General features: G+C 38.4%; 1 protein-coding gene across 19 annotated transcripts in view; it reads left to right on the top strand.

Annotated features, from left to right (window-relative positions):
• FAS (Fas cell surface death receptor) overlaps positions 1-18205 on the top strand; it is a 53010-nt gene extending 34805 nt beyond the window's left edge. For 6 of the 19 annotated variants that reach the window (NR_135314.2, XM_006717819.4, XM_011539764.3 and 3 more), the window contains 8 exons: positions 4175-4340; positions 8846-8983; positions 10035-10143; positions 11685-11746; positions 11899-11961; positions 13145-13227; positions 14489-14513; positions 15265-18205. Coding sequence is in view for 12 of the 19 variants with exons in the window: in XM_006717819.4 (XP_006717882.1) it covers positions 4175-4340; positions 8846-8983; positions 10035-10143; positions 11685-11746; positions 11899-11961; positions 13145-13227; positions 14489-14513; positions 15265-15596 (978 nt within the window). In the remaining 7 variants the exon portion in view is untranslated. Of the gene's footprint in view, positions 1-4174; positions 4341-8845; positions 8984-10034; positions 10144-11684; positions 11747-11898; positions 11962-13144; positions 13234-14488; positions 14514-15264 lie in introns of those variants that run through there. The other 13 variants (XM_011539765.3, NM_152871.4, XM_047425178.1 and 10 more) reach the window with 10 other exon arrangements.

Genomic DNA, 20560 nt, shown 5'->3' on the forward strand with positions numbered 1-20560 from the left:
CCTTTACAAAAAAAAATTCGGCCGGGCATGGTGGCTCACGCCTGTAATCCCAACACTTTGGGAGGCCGAGGCAGGCGGATCACGGGGTCGAGAGATTGAGACCATCTGGCCAACATGGTGAAACCCCGTCTCTACTAAAAACACAAAAATTAGCTGGGCCTGGTGGTGCACATCTGTAGTCCCAGCTACTCGGGAAGCTGAGGCAGGAGAGTCACTTGAACCCGGGAGGCGGAGCTTGCAGTGAGCCGAGATCGCGCCACTGCACCTCCAGCCTGGCAACAGAGCGAGACTCCGTCTCAAAAAAATAAATAAATAAATAAAATAAAATAAAATAAAATAAAATCTCACTTTCTGTTTCTACTGTTCTCTCAAGTACCCCTCTGCCTTCTGTTACTTCTTTGCTGCATTCTGAGAGGAATGGGGTGGGGAGCACTCTTTCCTGTAGAACCCCATAACCCATCTATTTTCATCAATTTATTTGAAATTCAAAGCCAGGGGTTAAAATGTCCACTTTCAATTTGAGATGTCTAACTTTCAGATAAATCTATTAACATGCATTTCTAAGTGACTTTTAAGCTAAGCATTTTATTTTATTGAGCTCGTATGGAAGGGTAACTATTATACTTGTATAATAAAGTGCACTTTCAAAAATACTCGGTTCAAATGTAAAATAATATTCGTAATATTTTAAGACAAACCTCCTAGAACTTATATGTGTCTTTCTTCCCAGAGCAGTCTCTATGGGTGCCTAAACAATACTGCATTATTAGATTTTTTTCAGTTTATAAGCCACACAAGAAAGTTAACCCATGTCATCTCTAGAGGCATAAAAATAGACAGTTGTTCTGAGAAACATATCTGTTTATTCCTAGTTCAGTAACAGCGCAATGAGATCCTAAATTATGAGGTACTTTTTGTTTATCTTATTGTCTCATTGGCAACCAGCAACTCCTGTTGCATTTTTGACATGGGAATCTATCAGGGTGTGGTTAATAAAGTACATTTCCATGGTAAGTATTCTTTAAGAAAAAATAAACCAAGATTTCATCAGAGACAGAAATTACTGCAAACTGTACTTACCAGTTTCTGGTGATTTGTATAACTGAGCTTTCAATTTCAAAAATTAAAAAGTTCTCTTTAGTGTAACATATTTTTGTGTCCAGTAATTTTACTTCAAAAATAAAAGAGAATTTTCTTTACCATCAAACAACGTTGCTGTAATGAGTGGTGATATATTTAGTCCTAGAGGACCAAAGAGAAATAAAATGGCTTTGATTATGCTGGTTTAAGAAAATATATCCGATGAAACAGAGGTTAATATTTGTGATGTTTGATTTAGTAAAATTATAAGACTACCAAAGAAAACTAGAAGAGCAAAATAACCAAAATTTATATAAAGAATTCAATGTTGATAATTCAAAGGTTTAGAATTTTTTCCACCTTTCAAATACTAAGTTGCTGTTATAGATTTACTACCATTATTACCCAGATTTTCTATTTTACTAAAAAATAATAACACAGTTCGTTATGATAAATCAGTATAGATCTTTAGGCTCAACACAACCCTGCTACCTTTTAAACTTTTTTATTATACAACAAACACATATGCATTATCAAGAAAAGATGAGTTTAGCAAAATGAAGAAAAATAGTCTTATCAACTAGAAATAAGCACCATTAAAATTTCTGTGTGTTAAAAGATAATATGCTGCTGAAACTTTTTTTTTCTTGAAATGTCCCTCTTTTCTTTCACTTTTCATTTTCTTAATCCCTAACCTTCTACTGTTGAATTTTCTGGACCACCGTTATACCCCCTCATCAATAGGGCATTTTTTTCTGCAGTAGCTGAGCACAATGGTCATATTGAAGAAATTCCCTTGTGGGGGCTTTGCCTAGAGGTAAAATCCTCTTGGCCGGGTGCGTTGGCTCATGCCTGTAATCCCAGCACTTTGGGAAGCTGAGGCGGGAGCATCTTCTGAGGTCAGGAGTTTGAGATTAGCCTGGCCAACGTGGTGAAATGCCGTCTCTACTAAAAATACAAAAAATTAGCCGTCATAGTGTGCATTCCTGTAATCCCACCTACTCGGGAGGCTGAGGCAGGAGAATTGCTTGAATGCCGGAGGCAGAGGTTGTAGTGAGCCAAGATCTAGATTGTGCCACTGTGCTCCAGCCTGGGTGACAGAGCAAGACTCCGTCTAAAACAAAACAAAACAAAACAACAACAACAAAAACAAAGTAAAACCCTCTTCACTGTGATGACTCTAAAGCTTGCTTTTGTCTCTCTAAATCACAACAAACCGTTTGCAGTGTGATGCTGTGCTCAAAATTGAGAATTCTCACTGACTGTTCCAGGCATCTGTCTACTCATTCTTGCCATGCTGAGGGCTGTCATTTCTCACCACTGAATGCCTTTTTTTTTTTTTTTGTGCTTCTTTTTAAAAGTCTTTTCCTGTTTGCTTTGAACTTCAATAAAAACAGGGGGTAAGAAGGTAATATGCTTTTATTTTGTCTGTGGGGTTTTTTTCTTCCTTCTTTTGGTTCCTTTTCAGATCCTAGCTCATCAAGGCCATTTGCCACACTGACACTGGAATAAGCCTGAATGGGGGTCTATATTTCTTCCAGTAGTTAGTTTAATTCGGTCATTGAGCTGTTGCTCTATTTGTAACCGTCATGCTAGATCCGAGGGCTGACTATTCCTGAGAAAGTGTGGAGATCCTTTCAGACTGCCATGGTGCTAGGGCAGAGTTTCAGTCATTATCTTCTGTGTCTGCTAATTCTTGCATCATTTCTTCTACTCTGTAACCTGGTTGGCTATGAAAAGTGATTCTTCCTCACTGATGCTGCAGGCAATGGGTGAATATCCAATTGTTCTCTCAGGTTCTTGTCATCGGATACAAAGAACAAATTTCATGTGTCCCTGTTTCTGAGAGGTTCAAAGGGAGCAAATGCACAGATTCTAGCTTAGGATGACTTCCAGCTTCTAACTATTTGTCTGTGCATTCCATTTCCTCACCCCTGCGAGAGGTTGCAGTCATGGTAACGGCTGTTCTGAGAAATTCAGTGCCCAAACTGGAGGGAGGGGAACACAAACTCAGCTTCTTCCCAAGCTTCAGGGCAGGGCTGGCAAGTTTTGCCTTCCCCGCCAGCAAGAGCCCTGGCTTTAGGGGTCTTGCTACAGTTTTCCCAGACTGGAGGTCTTGGGGCTGGATTCTGGTTCTTAGCGAATTCTTGCCAAACACCTCCCCTTTCCCCAGTATCCATTTGTTTTGAAGGTTCTTTGCAGGCTTCTTGCCAATAATTGTCTTAAAACAAATGGAGTTGTTTGCATACCTAGATGGAGTAAAATATTTAGGAAACTATTCTACAAATATGAAACAGCCCAGATTTGGGCCAGAAGTCCTGGTCCTGAGTCTCTTGTTAGCCACTCTTAACTGTGAATTATTGGACAAATCATTTCTCGCACTCTGTGTAATCTGTCACCTGGGTACTTGATGATTTAAACCAGGAATTGTGGCCCTTCTCATAATACTGTCTCCTAAATATTGGGTGAATTTAGTATATCAAGGAGGGCAGGGCACTATACCCGTAGGGGACTCTCTCTCTCCCTCTGTCTCTTTGCCTTTCTCAGATATGCATCTTTGGTGGCAGACCTGGGGTTCAAACCACAGTTGTTTTGAAATTTCTCTTTCCTTCTCCACTATGCTCCCCCTCACTGAAACTTTAATAATAAAAGTAGCACACTTATTGGGCATGTATTTGTTATGTGCCAGGTTCTGTGCTAACAGCTTTAAGTGCATTATTCCACGTATTTTCACAACAAGCCTGTGAGGAAGAGGTTATTTCCACTTATAGATAAAGAAACTGAGACTTGGAGAATGTAAGTGATTTTACCCACAAACACAGGGCAGTAAGTGGGAGGCCCTGTTCACCTTAGAACACCTGGCTTCTATCATTCATGGTGCTGTTTCTAGTGTGGTTTGAAGAACCTGAGATCCAAACTGCTATACAAGTGACCTGCTGCTTTCTTGGAGAGAGAAATCTGAAAGACAGTGGAGCCCTCACATTGTCTTTGCCTGTGCACAGCAGATACTGCCAATTTTGGGTGGGTTACACTTGTTTACCACGTTGCTTACTTCAGAAATCAATAAAATTCTCTTCATGCTTTTATTTTACAGGTTCTTACGTCTGTTGCTAGATTATCGTCCAAAAGTGTTAATGCCCAAGTGACTGACATCAACTCCAAGGGATTGGAATTGAGGAAGACTGTTACTACAGTTGAGACTCAGAACTTGGAAGGCCTGCATCATGATGGCCAATTCTGCCATAAGCCCTGTCCTCCAGGTATGTTACACAAAACATCCAGAGATTACAGTGAAAGTCACAGTTAGGAGTAGCACATAGTAATCATGACTATAATAATTTTACAGTTTTTGGTTCCCCTATATTATATAACATAACTGAGAGAAAAACAACTATGAAATTATTTTCCAAAGATGAGTTTTATTTATATTTATCACGCTTATTTGATGTGGTTATGGATAAATTTAATTTACAAGTGACATGCACCTCTGAAATGAGAAGACTGGTCTATTTGGCTCCATTTTTTTCTAAGCAAAAATGACTCATTTGTGAATATGAAAGCTTATCATGTCAAAACTGATTAGGATCTACCATAACAATAGTGGAACTCTGAAAGCAAGAGACTTCTCCTCTTAAGGGATATGTCTCAGCACTTCCCTTCAATCAGAAGGTCTCTAAGAAAGCTGTCCTGGCACTGAAGCCTGCAAAATATATTTGCATTTTGCAGCTGAATAACTAGACGAATAAGAAAAGCAACAGGCAGAAACCAACAGCTTTTTTTTTTAAATCAATACTTTGAAGGGCAAACTAATTTCAGATCACAAATCCTTCAAACACTGGTAAATTAGAAGCTAAGCAAAATGCAATTGTGCAAACATTTCTTCAACTTTGAGTAGAGTTGAAAAAAGGAAAATAGCACATGGGTTCATGTGATAGATTAATAGAACAAAAAAGGACTGTAGTATGTTTCATGGTTGTCCTCCCAGGCTTCCAGCACTCAAGCTGTAAAACAGGATGGGTCCTGTTTGTGAAAAGATTCTACCAGTCTCCCTGTGCTTCATGTCCAGATTTTAATAACCGTTATGGAAAAATCTCCCCTATAACCCAACCCATTTATACTTAAACCCATTTACACTTAAATCTTCTCCAACACGAATAAAGAATGGCGTCCTGGCTTTATTATAACCTGCTAAACACAATCAATTTGCTCTATGAATTGAAATCTTTGTTCATAATTTTAAAACCTAAAATGTAAATTAAAATGAACAAAATATGCTTTGCACATCAAACTGTCAAGGATTTTTGTCTATTGCTTTTTCGGTTTTGCTTTGTTTTATTTTAATTTAAGAAGTGAATGTAAATTGTTACAAACTTTTAAGAAATACATTTGGATATATGAGTCAAAAATTTGAAAAAAAATTTTTTTTAACTTTTTTTTCTTATTATTATACTTTAAGTTTTAGGGTACACATGCACAATCTGCAGGTTAGTTACATATGTATACATGTGCCATGCTGGTGCACTGCACCCACTAACTCGTCATCTAGCATTAGGTATATCTCCCAATGCTATCCCTCCCCCCTCCCCCCAACCCACTGTTTATACTTGCTAAGATAGCAATTAATTTATACGAAAATACCCTGAGAAAATAATCAAAAATAAAGGAAAATATTGTACACATGATATTTCATTATCAATATGATGTAGGATTCCTTAGGTAAATTCTGGAATATTTAAAGACTGAAATAGTATGTATCAAAGTCATGTTTTCTGATATATTTCTAATATAATCCTCAATTATATAAACCTTCTTAAGTAATTTCCAACTGATCTGGCTGGATTAACTGATTCTCCCTGATCCGTCTATAAAATATCCTGGATGGCATCCAACCATGTTAAATACTCTTCCCACTTCAATTCCCTCTTGTTGAATTTTAGGCTTATCAATATCTAAGTTGCTTCCAAATCTGTTTATGCTCATTAGTGTTGTGATATTCATATGTAATTTGATTGAATATTGCATAAATTAATGAAATACAAATACAGAGAAAAGACAGATTTTATTTCTAAGAAAACTAGGTTGAGTGCTTTGGAGAATTCAATAAAGATGAGCTGCTAAAATGTTGTTGATGAATTTTGTGAGGGAAAAATAAAAGTTAAGTAGTAGGAAAAATCACAAAAATCTCTAAAGCCATTCATAGAGATTATTGGTATGTTTATGTTTTCCTTTCATCAAAAACGAAGGGAGGGAGGGAGGGAGGGAGGGAGGAGAAAAAAAGAAAGAAATGAAAAAGGAAGAGAAAAATAGACAAACAGGAAATTATAGGTGATGCATTATGGATGTGACTTAAGAAAGAACCTGGGATTATAATAACTTCTATATCACAAAATTGTCAAATGATTATATAGTTATATTTTATAAATTAAAACAAAATATTTACAGTATTTTTAAGTGATTTCCTATGTAAATTGACATTTTTGATTAAATGATCAAAGAAGTCCTCCCCACATCATCATATTCAATAAGAAGGATTCTATGGTATACTGCACACATATTTCATATATACACATTGTACATATATATATATACACACCTGTTATATATATGCTCATGCATATACATGTATGTATGTATTATATGCATAGGAATGCAACAAAATAACGGCAATATCTCCAGATTGTTGATATATAGTTTTTTGTTTGTTTGTTTGTCTGTTTTTTTGAGATGGAGTCTCACTCTGTAGTCCAGGCTGAAGTGCAGTGGCATGATCTCAGCTCACTGCAACCTCTGCCTTCTGGGTTCAAGCAATTCTGCAGCCTCAGCCTCCCAAGTAGCTGGGACTACAGGAGCACACCACAACACCGGGATAATTTTTTGTGTTTTTAATAGAGGCGGGGTTTCACCATGTTGGTCAGTCTGGTCTCAAACTCCTGACCTCAGGTGATCTGCCTGCCTTGGCCTCCCAATCTGCTGGGATTACAGACATGACCCACTGTGCCCGGCCTGATACATAAGTTCTTATTATACTTTCCTGCCTTTTCCAACATTTCTATAATAAGCATATGTACCATTATACTAAAAAAAGTATTTTAAAATCTGATTTTCAATAAAACAACTACTTATTTTCTTATTTTAATAAATTTTGTTTTCATACTTTGGAGGAACGAAAGAACCTGTGGTTTACTGTATCTCCATTATACCAAGGAAGTTGTGCTAGGCACATTCTGTAAGATAATTCATTAAAGAGACCAATTCATTCAGAGACCAGTATAATACCACTAGCAAAAAATAAAATTATACTTGGACTTGGGTTCTGTTTTCTTTAAATATTGCTACAATGTTATATAGCCCTATGCACTATTTTTGAATTTTGTTCTGGGAATCTCCAGTTTGTTTTTTACTATTGACAGACTATTATCTTTACTTACTAAAATAGCATATATATTTACATGTCATAATTTGCTCATGTAGTAAATATTTTGTTTTATCAAAAAGAATATATGAAGTTATTAAGGAATTCATGTTCCTAGGAAACACAGCAGAAATTAATTTTGCTGTATAGGTGAGCAGAGCAGATTAAACTGCTTATATTTTTAAAACTAGTTATACCATTAACAATTAGAGTCACTAGTAATGTTTTTCTCACACTTCCCTTGATATTTTCTGTCACTTTCTTCTTAATTCTCTATTCCCTTACCTTCATCTAGCTTTCCCCATAGCATTTTTTTAGCACTTGATATCAATATATTTATTTGTGTATTGTCTGCCTGCATCCCAAGAAGGTGAAGTCTTTGGTGATGAAGGGTTTATCTTATTTCCTGCATAATATCAAACTTCTAAAAAGTTCCTAGGACTCAATAGGCATTTAATAAACACCTATCAGATAAATGAATTTTTTAAGAGAACACATTACATAATGCTTTCTAATAGCAATACAGTGACAAACTTTATTTTTAAGTAAATTAATGCAAATATGTATATTATTTAAAATTGTTTGTTTTTAAGATAACAAGCCTGATAGATAATAAATTTTGGCATAAATATGTTAATGCTTATCAAAACTCATCAGTACATATCCTGTCTTTTGATGAAAAAGTAATAGAAAGGGGAGAACAAAGAGAACTCTCATGCTCACTAGGCAGGCCGAGTGCAGCTCTGACAGCAATGCAAGAGAAATATTACTATCTCCATCATATGCAGGATGAAATTTAGGCTTGGAGAAAACAACACTTCGTTAAAGATTTTATAGCTGCTCAAGATTTGACCAAGGCTTTTAAAACTTCAAATGTTCTTTTCCTTATTACACTGTTTCTTATCAGGATTTGTGGACTTTGGAAAGTAAAATGAAAAGTCAGAGCAATGTGAGTTAGTTTGATAATCTCAGTGGCCAGTAACAGCTATCCCCACTCTGAATATATACCAACCAACCTCTCCCCTTTCTCCAAGGAAGTTAGTTCTTGGCAAAGGCATTTCATGCAGTGTACTTTGTCATTCTAACCTTCCTTTTTTTTTGTATGCTCCTGTTGCTAATCATCCTATTTCTATGGGCTTCAGTCACTCTTTTAGCTTTTGTCTTGGGAGACTTTCTGTCTGTTGACATGACTTTTAAAATAATCTTCTCCCCCATTGTATTTATATCTCATTAGCCTACCCCCCCTCCCCTTGTGTTTTAGAAGAGTTTTATTGTCTGTCATCCCTCTATAGTTCCCACCCTGTTACCTGCCCGTGTCCTGTTCAAACACTTGCTCCTTTTTTCCTTGGGCAGGTGAAAGGAAAGCTAGGGACTGCACAGTCAATGGGGATGAACCAGACTGCGTGCCCTGCCAAGAAGGGAAGGAGTACACAGACAAAGCCCATTTTTCTTCCAAATGCAGAAGATGTAGATTGTGTGATGAAGGACATGGTAAGAGTCTTAAAATGCAATTGAAAGAGGCCAATCTTGGAATTTCATGTAGAACCATTTATAAGACAATTTGAAATTGGGGCCTACTGTGGTGCTATGTTGACACACAGGAAAGGGAAGGACAGGTGGCTAGGGTACCGCAGAACCAGGTGCCGAGCTAACTACTGGTCTAGACCTTTATGAGTAAGTCTAGGCAATTCTTCCAGATATAGGAGAATGAGTAAATATGAACCCTAGGAACAGGGTTCATCAGCTCAAATCAAAAGCTCAGAAATTATTTTTTTTCTGGCCTTGACTTACGCTTATATAATGGTGCTCGTTCATGGCCAGAAAAATTCAGAAGCCTGCAGATACAAGGACACAGAAATCCAAAAGGTAGGTAGGAATGCTCCCCCTTTCTTTGGGGATTTAGTTTGTCCTGATAATTCCATCTGGGGACCTGAATTTTCATGGATATCTCAATGTATTCTAAGGACCCAGATTGAAGTATAACAGAAGTGTTTCTAGTTTTGTTTGACATGAAGAAACCTCTGGACATAAAGCTTTTCCCATCCCTATTCAGCCTATAAAGCAATGTTTCTCATCCCTGGCAGTGCATTAGAATTGCTTAGGGAGCTACTAAAAATGTTTCATGTTTAGGTCCCATCTCAGGGCAATTACATCAGAGTCTCTGAGTGAGGACCTTGGTATTGGCCTGATGGAGTAAGTCTGGGGTAGAGCCTAACATTCTACATTTTTAACAAGCTCCCAGGTGATGCTCATGCTGCCAGTCCCCAGGTCACCCTTTGAGTGTTAAGGCTAGAGACTAGAGGAACAGGGGAGACGTCTAAGTATTGGTGAGGTTTGTCTTGGTTGCTGCTAAATGATTGCTGGCCATTTCAACCTGGGGTTTCCTGTTCTGTGTTTAAACACTGACTGTATTACTGGTGTCATGCTGTGACTGTTGATATAAGCAGTGGATCTCAAAAATCCATGCAGCTCCTGCCCACCATTTTCATAGTCTGCTTATAATTAGCCGCTATAACTAATAGTTTCCAAACTGATTTTCTAGGCTTAGAAGTGGAAATAAACTGCACCCGGACCCAGAATACCAAGTGCAGATGTAAACCAAACTTTTTTTGTAACTCTACTGTATGTGAACACTGTGACCCTTGCACCAAGTAAGTTTTAGTCTTTCTCTGATTAAAACACTAGATATAACATGAGAGTTATCATTTTCCTAGGGAAGTAACACTGACTGAGAGTTAAGAATTAGGGTTCTAGTCCTGCTTTGCCTCCAAGCAACTAGATGACTGTTTGCTCATTTAAACACTGGTGAACTTCCTGTGTAGGTGACACTTTGCTGGCCACTTAAGCTAAAGATATGAGCCAGACATATGCCTGGCATCAAGGTATCAGTCCAGAAGCACAGACAGTCAAGGAAAGCAATGGTTATTGTGTTTCAACAGCATGAGAATAGCATCAGAAGAGACTTATGTTCCAGGTGTTACAAATTATACAGAAAAACTTTTCAACTCTGCCTGAGGAGATGGAGGTGAAGACATGAATGTGTCTCATGACTTGAATCTTGAAGAAAGAAAAGAAAGAGCATTAACAGGTGCACATGGATGGAATGCACATTATAGGCAGGGAAACAGCAGCTGCAAAGAGACAAAGGAAGCTCAGGAAAACAGAATACCTGGCTGGAGTGTAGGAAAGACTGAGAAGCGTTCAGGGCTGAATCATGAAGGGCCTTGTCTTTTAGGCTAAAGAGGTTGGTTTTGACCCAAAGTTAGAGAACCTGCCTTGTAAGTCATCTTGGGAAGCTTTTAGGAGTTCATCTAATAGGCTTAAGAAATAAGCACATGATGCCTTATGTTTTATTTGCTAGGAAAATTTTATGTACAGTTGTCCCAGGCTCTCCCCTGGCCACAAGTGTCTGAGAGTGCCCCTATGATGACAGGCTAGGTAGGCATTGGGGAAGCAGCTGACTTAGTAAAATAATAACAATAATAGTAATTCCAAATATTTCATAATCTTGATTTAATTTTCTTGTCATCATAACCTTTTGAAATAGATAATATTATTTCCATGTTATTGATGAGATAAAAGGCTCATGGCAGTGTGACTTCCCAAGCTCACCTAGTCAGGTAATGGGCAGAGGCTGTGAACTCAGACAACCTGATTGTGAATGTTTGTCTGTCTGAAGGAAATCACACATGAACCTCTTGAGTCTCCTGATCACCACCGGTTGCTAAAAGTGGCAGCCTCTAAGGGCCAGCTGAGTACCCTCCCTGAGCTACATCATGGGCGTGGCTATCACCTGGCCATTTTCTTGGTCTATAGGAATTTTTTGAAATTACTTTTGACAGTTTATTTTAAGAGCTAGTTTAAGCTATAGGATTTACGTGTTCAGTTTATTACTAGGTTTAAGTTTATTTTTGTATCCACTTCATCTCTCTTGTGTGTCACTATTTTCCTATCTTCCTTTAACTCTTGAAATCTTAAGACAGAGTCATTCCTTATGATATTTTTCATCCAGCCATCCAAATTATATTAACTTGTGCCAGCTTTAGATACTAATTTAGAAATATTTGAAGGAATACGTTTGCCAGAGATGCAAAGATGAATAAAATGGCCCCTAATTTACAAAGTGCCATTGAAAATTATAAAGGAATTATTCTGCCAGGCTTTTGAATTTCTCCTGTATTTTTTTTTCTAGATGTGAACATGGAATCATCAAGGAATGCACACTCACCAGCAACACCAAGTGCAAAGAGGAAGGTAATTATTTTTTTACGGTTATATTCTCCTTTCCCCCAACCCCATGGAAAGATGTGAAGAAAAACCAATCACTCTTGATTACTAGAAAGTCCTTTATTTAATCTTAAAGATTGCTTATTTTCATATAAAATGTCCAATGTTCCAACCTACAGGATCCAGATCTAACTTGGGGTGGCTTTGTCTTCTTCTTTTGCCAATTCCACTAATTGTTTGGGGTAAGTTCTTGCTTTGTTCAAACTGCAGATTGAAATAACTTGGGAAGTAGTTCACAAAGATTTGCCTCATTCTTACCTATAAAAAGCTACCACTTTGGTAGATTTATGTATTGTTAATTTCTTGCCCCTGAATGCAGCCTTGAGAGCTGACTGATAAGAACAAATGAAATTATTCCTCAGCTAGTTTCTGAGCAACAGTTTTGGGGCATTGAGTGGTATTCTCATCCTTCCTATGAACAGGTGTTCTCTGCAGCAGCAGAATTGGCCAAAAATCAGAAGCAATTCTTCACTATTCATTGAGATCTCCCTATGCAAAAAGAGAACACAAGAAGCAAAGGCATTCCCAGGAAACACATTGCAGGGAACACTTTAAAAACTTGTACTTCACTGCCTCCTCTTCCTCGGCCTAATTGCTTGTTTTTAATTATTTCTCCTTCTTAACTTAAAATACTATGGGGACACATGTTATACAAAGGTGACTTAGTAGAGTCAGTAGAAAAGCCAAAATTAGATATTATCATAATTAGTCTAGAAAAATCCCTTTAAGTCATTCATCAACTACAGGGTCACACCAACTTTCAGTAACTTAGAAGTATTCAATTTTCCCTTCTCAGAACAATTATCTGTTTCTTCAGTTCAGTTGAAGAAGAAAGTTTGCCTTGCCTTTAGCGGTTGTTTAGCTGAAAATACATTTGGGATATTTAAGCACTGTAATTGTGCTCAGAGACATACAGATTCTTCTATCTCACATTGACTTTAATGCATACACCTATTGAGTATGTATGCTTGAGTTATTTGTGTGTGTATTTCATTTCTGGGCATCCATAGCAAGTTGATGTTGACTTGCTTGTCCTACGGCTTCTGCATCCTGCCATAGTCTTGCCGTCCACATCTTTGCTGGACAGAGAGTGGTGCTTGCCATATGGTAAGTCAAAAGCCATCTCCTTGCTAGGCCAGCCTGTGGTAATTAGATGACTAATTAAGATATGTCCTTTCACTAGAACACTTGACTTAGTAGTACGAAAGTTCCAAAATCAGCGGTCTCCTGCGATGTTTGGCCACTTTTAAGTTTCACTGAATTTCTCCTTTTTCCTTCTTATATTTCTCTTAGTGTGAAAGTATGTTCTCACATGCATTCTACAAGGCTGAGACCTGAGTTGATAAAATTTCTTTGTTCTTTCAGTGAAGAGAAAGGAAGTACAGAAAACATGCAGAAAGCACAGAAAGGAAAACCAAGGTTCTCATGAATCTCCAACTTTAAATCCTGTAGGTATTGAAATAGGTATCAGCTTTCCTTGAAAAGAAAAATAGAGAAATTAGTGATTTGGCTTTTTGTTACTTCCTTTTACTTTTTTGTTTCTTGTTTGTTTCATTTTGTTTGAGATGGAGTCTTGCTCCATAGCCCAGGCTGGAGTGCAGGGGTGCAATCATGGCTCACTGCAGCCTCAAAGTCCTGGGCTCAAGTGATCCTCCTGCCTCAACTGTGACCCTGGGACTACAGGCATGCACCACCATGCCAGGTTAATTTTTTATTTTTATTTTTTATAGAGACAGGGTTCACTTTGTTGCCCAGGCTGGTCTCAAACTTTTGACCTCAAGCAATCCTTCTGCCTCAGCCTCCCAAAGTTCTGGGATTATAGGTGTGAGCCATCACATCCGGCCTGTTACTTTCTTTATTTAAACATTGCTTGTGTTTGTGGGTGCATAGGTTAAAGGGGCCTCACAGATGAATTATGATATGGTACCCAAATTAAAAGTAAACTTGTACACAAAAACCGTAAGAATCAACAAAGGAGGGAATTGAGAGTGTGCTGAAAATGAGCTGAAAAAAGAACTTGGCCAACCTCCATGTTCCGTGTTGTTGTTATCCCTGCAGAGAAACAGCCTTTACCAGGCATGGGTTCAGTATCCAAGCCTGAGCAAAGAGATTGCTCTTAAAGTTTGTCATAAGGGCACAGCTTAACTTTCTCTGGCTGCCGGTTGACCTTATGTCTCACCATATCTTTTCCCAACATGGTATCAATATATTTCAGATAGCAAGAAATACACCGAGAAAAGAAACCAGTTGCACTTAATGGAATTATTTTCTTATTTGGGGCCAGGGCTCAGTGGGAGTTAGGATTCTTTAAATTAATATGGTAAAAAAAATTTCAATTTGAGCCATTTTCTGGTATTAAGAATAAGAATAGTTACAGGGAAGAAAATTTTAGAGTAGTTATATTTATTATTTATTTTAATAAGTCTATATGAAAAATAACCTCAACCTATTTTATGAATTCTTTAGGTTTCTTGCCTTTAAAAACTAAGACAATATTGCTTAGTTTCTGGCAAGGCCGGAACCTTTCAGAATAAAAATTGAATGGTAAAAGTAACCTTCTTAATCACTTAATCTAGCTTCCTAATTTTATACATCAAGCAACTGATTGTACTTCTTTCTGAATTAAGGAAAAATTAGAAGTTCACATTTAGAATATTCTAAAGATATATTTTTATTTGTCTTTCTCTGCTTCCATTTTTTGCTTTCTAGGAAACAGTGGCAATAAATTTATCTGGTAAGGCTTTTATCATTTTATTTCATAGAGATGGCATCCTTTAGAGTAATAGGCCAATTTCAGAGTAAAATAATGTTACTAATTTCAGTGACATATTATGGGATCTTGTTATTTCTCATACAATTCTACCTGCTCAGCATAAAGCATTTATCAGGCAGTTTGTTTAAATTTATAATGAATACTCATAGTTAAAAATAATCAAGTAACAATAAGACACAATAGTCTGAGGCTTAAGAAACTTTTCCTTCATAATCAGCTAGATGTATTACAGAACTCCTGCCTAAAAAGATCTAGAGGTTAAAGTGTACTGTAGACTCAGGTATTATCAGTGTACCCAACTCTATAACAACATACATGATTCCATTCAGTTGTTCTTTGATCTGTGATTTAGAGATAAGATGATCATAAACTCTTTGCTTATACTTTTAGATTTGTGGGTCATTGATCATTGGATCCATAAGAGATGTTATAGGTGATCTTTTCCAATCCTCTTAATTTATAAATGAGAAAAGAAGATACAGAAATGTTATGTATTGTGGCCCAGGTTATTTAACAAATTACTGGGTATATGGCAGGATTTGGAGTTAGAACTCAAGGTTGTCTTGTTTCTGTATTCCCCTAGTCAGCTCTTCATAGACCTTTAGGACTTAGCTATATTCTGAAGTACTATAAAAAGAGAAATAAACATGGTTTTCACTAATGGGAATTTCATTTAGAAAAACAAATTTTCAGACTATTTTCTATTTTTCAGATGTTGACTTGAGTAAATATATCACCACTATTGCTGGAGTCATGACACTAAGTCAAGTTAAAGGCTTTGTTCGAAAGAATGGTGTCAATGAAGCCAAAATAGATGAGATCAAGAATGACAATGTCCAAGACACAGCAGAACAGAAAGTTCAACTGCTTCGTAATTGGCATCAACTTCATGGAAAGAAAGAAGCGTATGACACATTGATTAAAGATCTCAAAAAAGCCAATCTTTGTACTCTTGCAGAGAAAATTCAGACTATCATCCTCAAGGACATTACTAGTGACTCAGAAAATTCAAACTTCAGAAATGAAATCCAAAGCTTGGTCTAGAGTGAAAAACAACAAATTCAGTTCTGAGTATATGCAATTAGTGTTTGAAAAGATTCTTAATAGCTGGCTGTAAATACTGCTTGGTTTTTTACTGGGTACATTTTATCATTTATTAGCGCTGAAGAGCCAACATATTTGTAGATTTTTAATATCTCATGATTCTGCCTCCAAGGATGTTTAAAATCTAGTTGGGAAAACAAACTTCATCAAGAGTAAATGCAGTGGCATGCTAAGTACCCAAATAGGAGTGTATGCAGAGGATGAAAGATTAAGATTATGCTCTGGCATCTAACATATGATTCTGTAGTATGAATGTAATCAGTGTATGTTAGTACAAATGTCTATCCACAGGCTAACCCCACTCTATGAATCAATAGAAGAAGCTATGACCTTTTGCTGAAATATCAGTTACTGAACAGGCAGGCCACTTTGCCTCTAAATTACCTCTGATAATTCTAGAGATTTTACCATATTTCTAAACTTTGTTTATAACTCTGAGAAGATCATATTTATGTAAAGTATATGTATTTGAGTGCAGAATTTAAATAAGGCTCTACCTCAAAGACCTTTGCACAGTTTATTGGTGTCATATTATACAATATTTCAATTGTGAATTCACATAGAAAACATTAAATTATAATGTTTGACTATTATATATGTGTATGCATTTTACTGGCTCAAAACTACCTACTTCTTTCTCAGGCATCAAAAGCATTTTGAGCAGGAGAGTATTACTAGAGCTTTGCCACCTCTCCATTTTTGCCTTGGTGCTCATCTTAATGGCCTAATGCACCCCCAAACATGGAAATATCACCAAAAAATACTTAATAGTCCACCAAAAGGCAAGACTGCCCTTAGAAATTCTAGCCTGGTTTGGAGATACTAACTGCTCTCAGAGAAAGTAGCTTTGTGACATGTCATGAACCCATGTTTGCAATCAAAGATGATAAAATAGATTCTTATTTTTCCCCCACCCCCGAAAATGTTCAATAATGTCCCATGTAAAACCTGCTACAAATGGCAGCTTATACATAGCAATGGTAAAATCATCATCTGGATTTAGGAATTGCTCTTGTCATACCCCCAAGTTTCTAAGATTTAAGATTCTCCTTACTACTATCCTACGTTTAAATATCTTTGAAAGTTTGTATTAAATGTGAATTTTAAGAAATAATATTTATATTTCTGTAAATGTAAACTGTGAAGATAGTTATAAACTGAAGCAGATACCTGGAACCACCTAAAGAACTTCCATTTATGGAGGATTTTTTTGCCCCTTGTGTTTGGAATTATAAAATATAGGTAAAAGTACGTAATTAAATAATGTTTTTGGTATTTCTGGTTTTCTCTTTTTTGGTAGGGGCTTGCTTTTTGGTTTTGTCTTCCTTTTCTCTAACTGATGCTAAATATAACTTGTCTTTAATGCTTCTTGGATCCCTTAGAAGGTACTTCCTTTTTAACCTTAACCCTTTTAGTAGTTAAATAATTATTTCCATAGGTTGCTATTGCCAAGAAGACCTCTTCCAAACAGCACATGATTATTCGTCAAACAGTTTCGTATTCCAGATACTGGAATGTGGATAAGAAAGTATACATTTCAAGGGGTAGGTTTTATTATTAAGAAAGCCAAATGAGGATTTTGAAATATTCTTTCCTGCATATTATCCATTCTAGCTACATGCTGGCCAGTGGGCCACCTTTCTTTTCTGCAATTTAATGCTAGTAATATATTCTATTTAACCCATGAGTCCCAAAGTATTAGCATTTCAACATGTAAGCATGTCGGTAAGATAGTTGTGCTTTGCTTAGGGTTCCCTCCTGTGTTATGGTCTGGAAAGTGTCTTTAGGCAGAAAGTCTGAGTGATCACAGGGTTCACTCATTAATTTCTCTTTTCTGAGCCATCATAGTCTGTGCTGTCTGCTCTCCAGTTTTCTATTTCTAGACAGAAGTAGGGCAAGTTAGGTACTAGTTATTCTTCATGGCCAGAAGTGCAAGTTCTACTTTGCAAGACAAGATTAAGTTAGAGAACACCCTATTCCACTTTGGTGAACTCAGAGCAAGAACTTTGAGTTCCTTTGGGAGGAAGACAGTGGAGAAGTCTTTGTACTTGGTGATGTGGTTTTTTTCCTCATGGCTTCACCTAGTGGCCCCAAGCATGACTTCTCCCATGTCAATGAGCACAGCCACATTCCCGAGTTGAGGTGACCCCACGGTCCAGAATCATCCTCATTCTGGTGAACCTGGTTCTCTTTGTGGTGGGCATACTGGGTAGGAGAATCACCCAAAGGTCACCCATGAGCTGCAGAAAAAAAGGCTATTTGCAGAAGGAGCTCACAGATCACATTGAAAGCATTGCATATTCAAACATCTTGGTCTTCTTTATTGGCATGCCCACAGGGTCTTCTGACCTCTGATTAGATCAGACACTTTTTAGATATTGAATCATCAGTTTCTGTACAACTATCTGAATAAGGTATATAATCAATGAAATTTAGAATTTTTTTCTATGCTTACTCCTGATTGGTAATTTGTTTGGGTTTAGAATTCTATACAAGGCCATTTGTAATTTTCCTCAGCACTTTAAAAATATTAAACCATGTTTTCTTAACATCTGTTGCTGTTGATTATGTCTGCTCTTGGTGTAAATATCATTCCTTTGTAGGTAATCTGTAATTTTTTTTCCTCTGGTAATTTTTAAAGCTTCCCCTACTACTTTCCTATGTGTTCTGCAGTTTCACAACAATGACTTTCAATGTGTATTTATTTTTACTTAATCTATTTAATAAGATTTAATTAGAAAGGCAGGGCTTTCATCATTTCTGGAAAAAATCCCAGCTATTTTCTCTTTAAATAGTGTTTCTTTACCATTCTCATTCTCTTCTTCTGAAACTGTTGTTATTATTTGTTGAAGCTTCTTGAGTTATTTTCTAGGTCTCTTAATTTTTTTTAAAACAATAATTGTCTCCGTATGTTGCATTTTAGGAAATTTCTCATTACTCTTTTTAAATTAACTGTTAGTTTTTACTAAGCCCGGCTAGAATAGTCTATCCACTGAGGTATGTATTTTGTTTTCTATATTTTTCATTCTTAATGTTTCTTATTGTTCCTTTTACATTTTTACTTGTATATGTTTCATTCCTGCTTTTTTTAATTTTCTTTCTTCTTTCCCTTTTCTCTCTTTTTTTTTTTCTTCTTGCAGTGCAGACAGACTTTATTAGTACAGCAGAGGTGCCCACAGAGCAGGCAGAAGGGATCAGTGCCTGGATCTGTCCCTTCCTCCTTCTGCCCTCGCTGAGCCCTAGTGTGTCCGGAATTGGTGGGTTCTTGGTCTCACTGACTTCAAGAATGAAGCCGCGGACCCTCACGGTGAGTGTTACAGTTCTTAAAGGCAGCGTGTCCGGAGTTCATTCCTTCTGATGTTCGGATGTGTTCAGAGTTTCTTCCTTCTGGTGGGTTTGTGGTCTCGCTGGCTCAGGAGTGAAGCTACAGACCTTCGCGGTGAGCATTACAGCTCTTAAGGCGGCCCGTCTGGAGTTGTTCGTTCCTCCCGGTGGGTTCATGGTCTCGCTGGCTTCAGGAGTTAAGCTGCAAACTTTCGCAGTGAGTGTTACAGCTCATGAAGGCAGTGTAGACCTAAAGAGTGAGCAGCAGCAAAATTTATTGAAAAGAGTGAAAGAACAAAACTTCCACCCTATGGAAGGGGACCCGGGCCAGTTGCCACTGCTGGCTCTGGCAGCCTGCTTTTATTTTGTTATCTGGCCCCACCCACATCCTGCTGATTGGTCCATTTTACAGAGAGCCGATTGGTCCATTTTACAGAGAGCTGATTGGTGCGTTTTGACAGGGTGCTGACTGGTGCGTTTACAATCCCTGAGCTAGACACAAAAGTTCTCAACGTCCCCACTAGATCAGCTAGATACAGAGTATCAACACAAAGGTTCTCCAAGTCACCACCAGAGTAGCTAGATACAGAGTGTCGATTGGTGCATTCACAAACCCTGAGCTAGACACAGGGTGATGATTGGTGTGTTTACAAACCTTGAGCTAGATACAGAGTGCCGATTGGTGTATTTACAATCCCTTAGCTAGACATAAAGGTTCCCTAAGTCCCTACCAGACTCAGAAGCCCAGCTGGCTTCACCCCGTGGATCCTGCACCGGGGCTGCAGGTGGAGCTGCCTGCCAGTCCCGCGCCATGCTCCCGCACTCCTCAGCCCTTGGATGGTCAATGCGACTGGGAGCCTTAGAGCAGGGGGCGGTGATCGTTGGGGAGGCTTGGGCATGGTGGGCTGCAGGTCCCGAGCCCTGCCCCATGGGGAGGCAGCTAAGGCCTGGTGAGAAGTCAAGCACAGCAGCTGCTGGCCCAGGTGCTAAGCCCCTCACTGCCCCAGGGCCGGCGGGGCTGGCTGGCCGCTCCCAGTGCAGGGTCTGCTGAGCCCACGCCCACCTGGAACTCATGCTGGCCCACAAGCACCATGTGCAGCCCCGGTTCCCGCCCATGCCTCTCCCTCCACACCTCCCTGCAAGCTGAGGGAGCCGGCTCCGACCTTCGCCAGCCCAGAAAGGGGCTCCCACAGTGCAGCAGCGGGCTGAAGGGCTCCTCAAGCACAGCCAGAGTGGGCGCCAAGGCTGAGGAGGTGCTGAGAGCGAGCAAGGGCTGTGAGGGCTGCCAGCACACTGTCACCTCTCACTAGGAGGCTGGGGCCTGGCCTGGACCAGTTTCTCTTGTTCCACCTGAAACACATGAGAATGGAGAGCTCAGGGCTGGCCTTGCTTCTGGCTCCTATTGTCATAACTCTAATGTTATCACTTCATTGAAAAGATTAGACCTCTCCTTCCCCAGTCCCTAGGCAGGGAACCCCAGCCACTGGGGAGAGACAACTTTGTGGGGCCTGGGCTTAGGTATATCCTCTAGACACTTCCGACCCCACCCCACACCCTTTAGTTCTCTGAGGCTCAACGCA

This window comes from Homo sapiens, chromosome 10 (genome assembly GCF_000001405.40).
Source record: "Homo sapiens chromosome 10, GRCh38.p14 Primary Assembly".
NCBI lineage: Eukaryota > Metazoa > Chordata > Mammalia > Primates > Hominidae > Homo > Homo sapiens.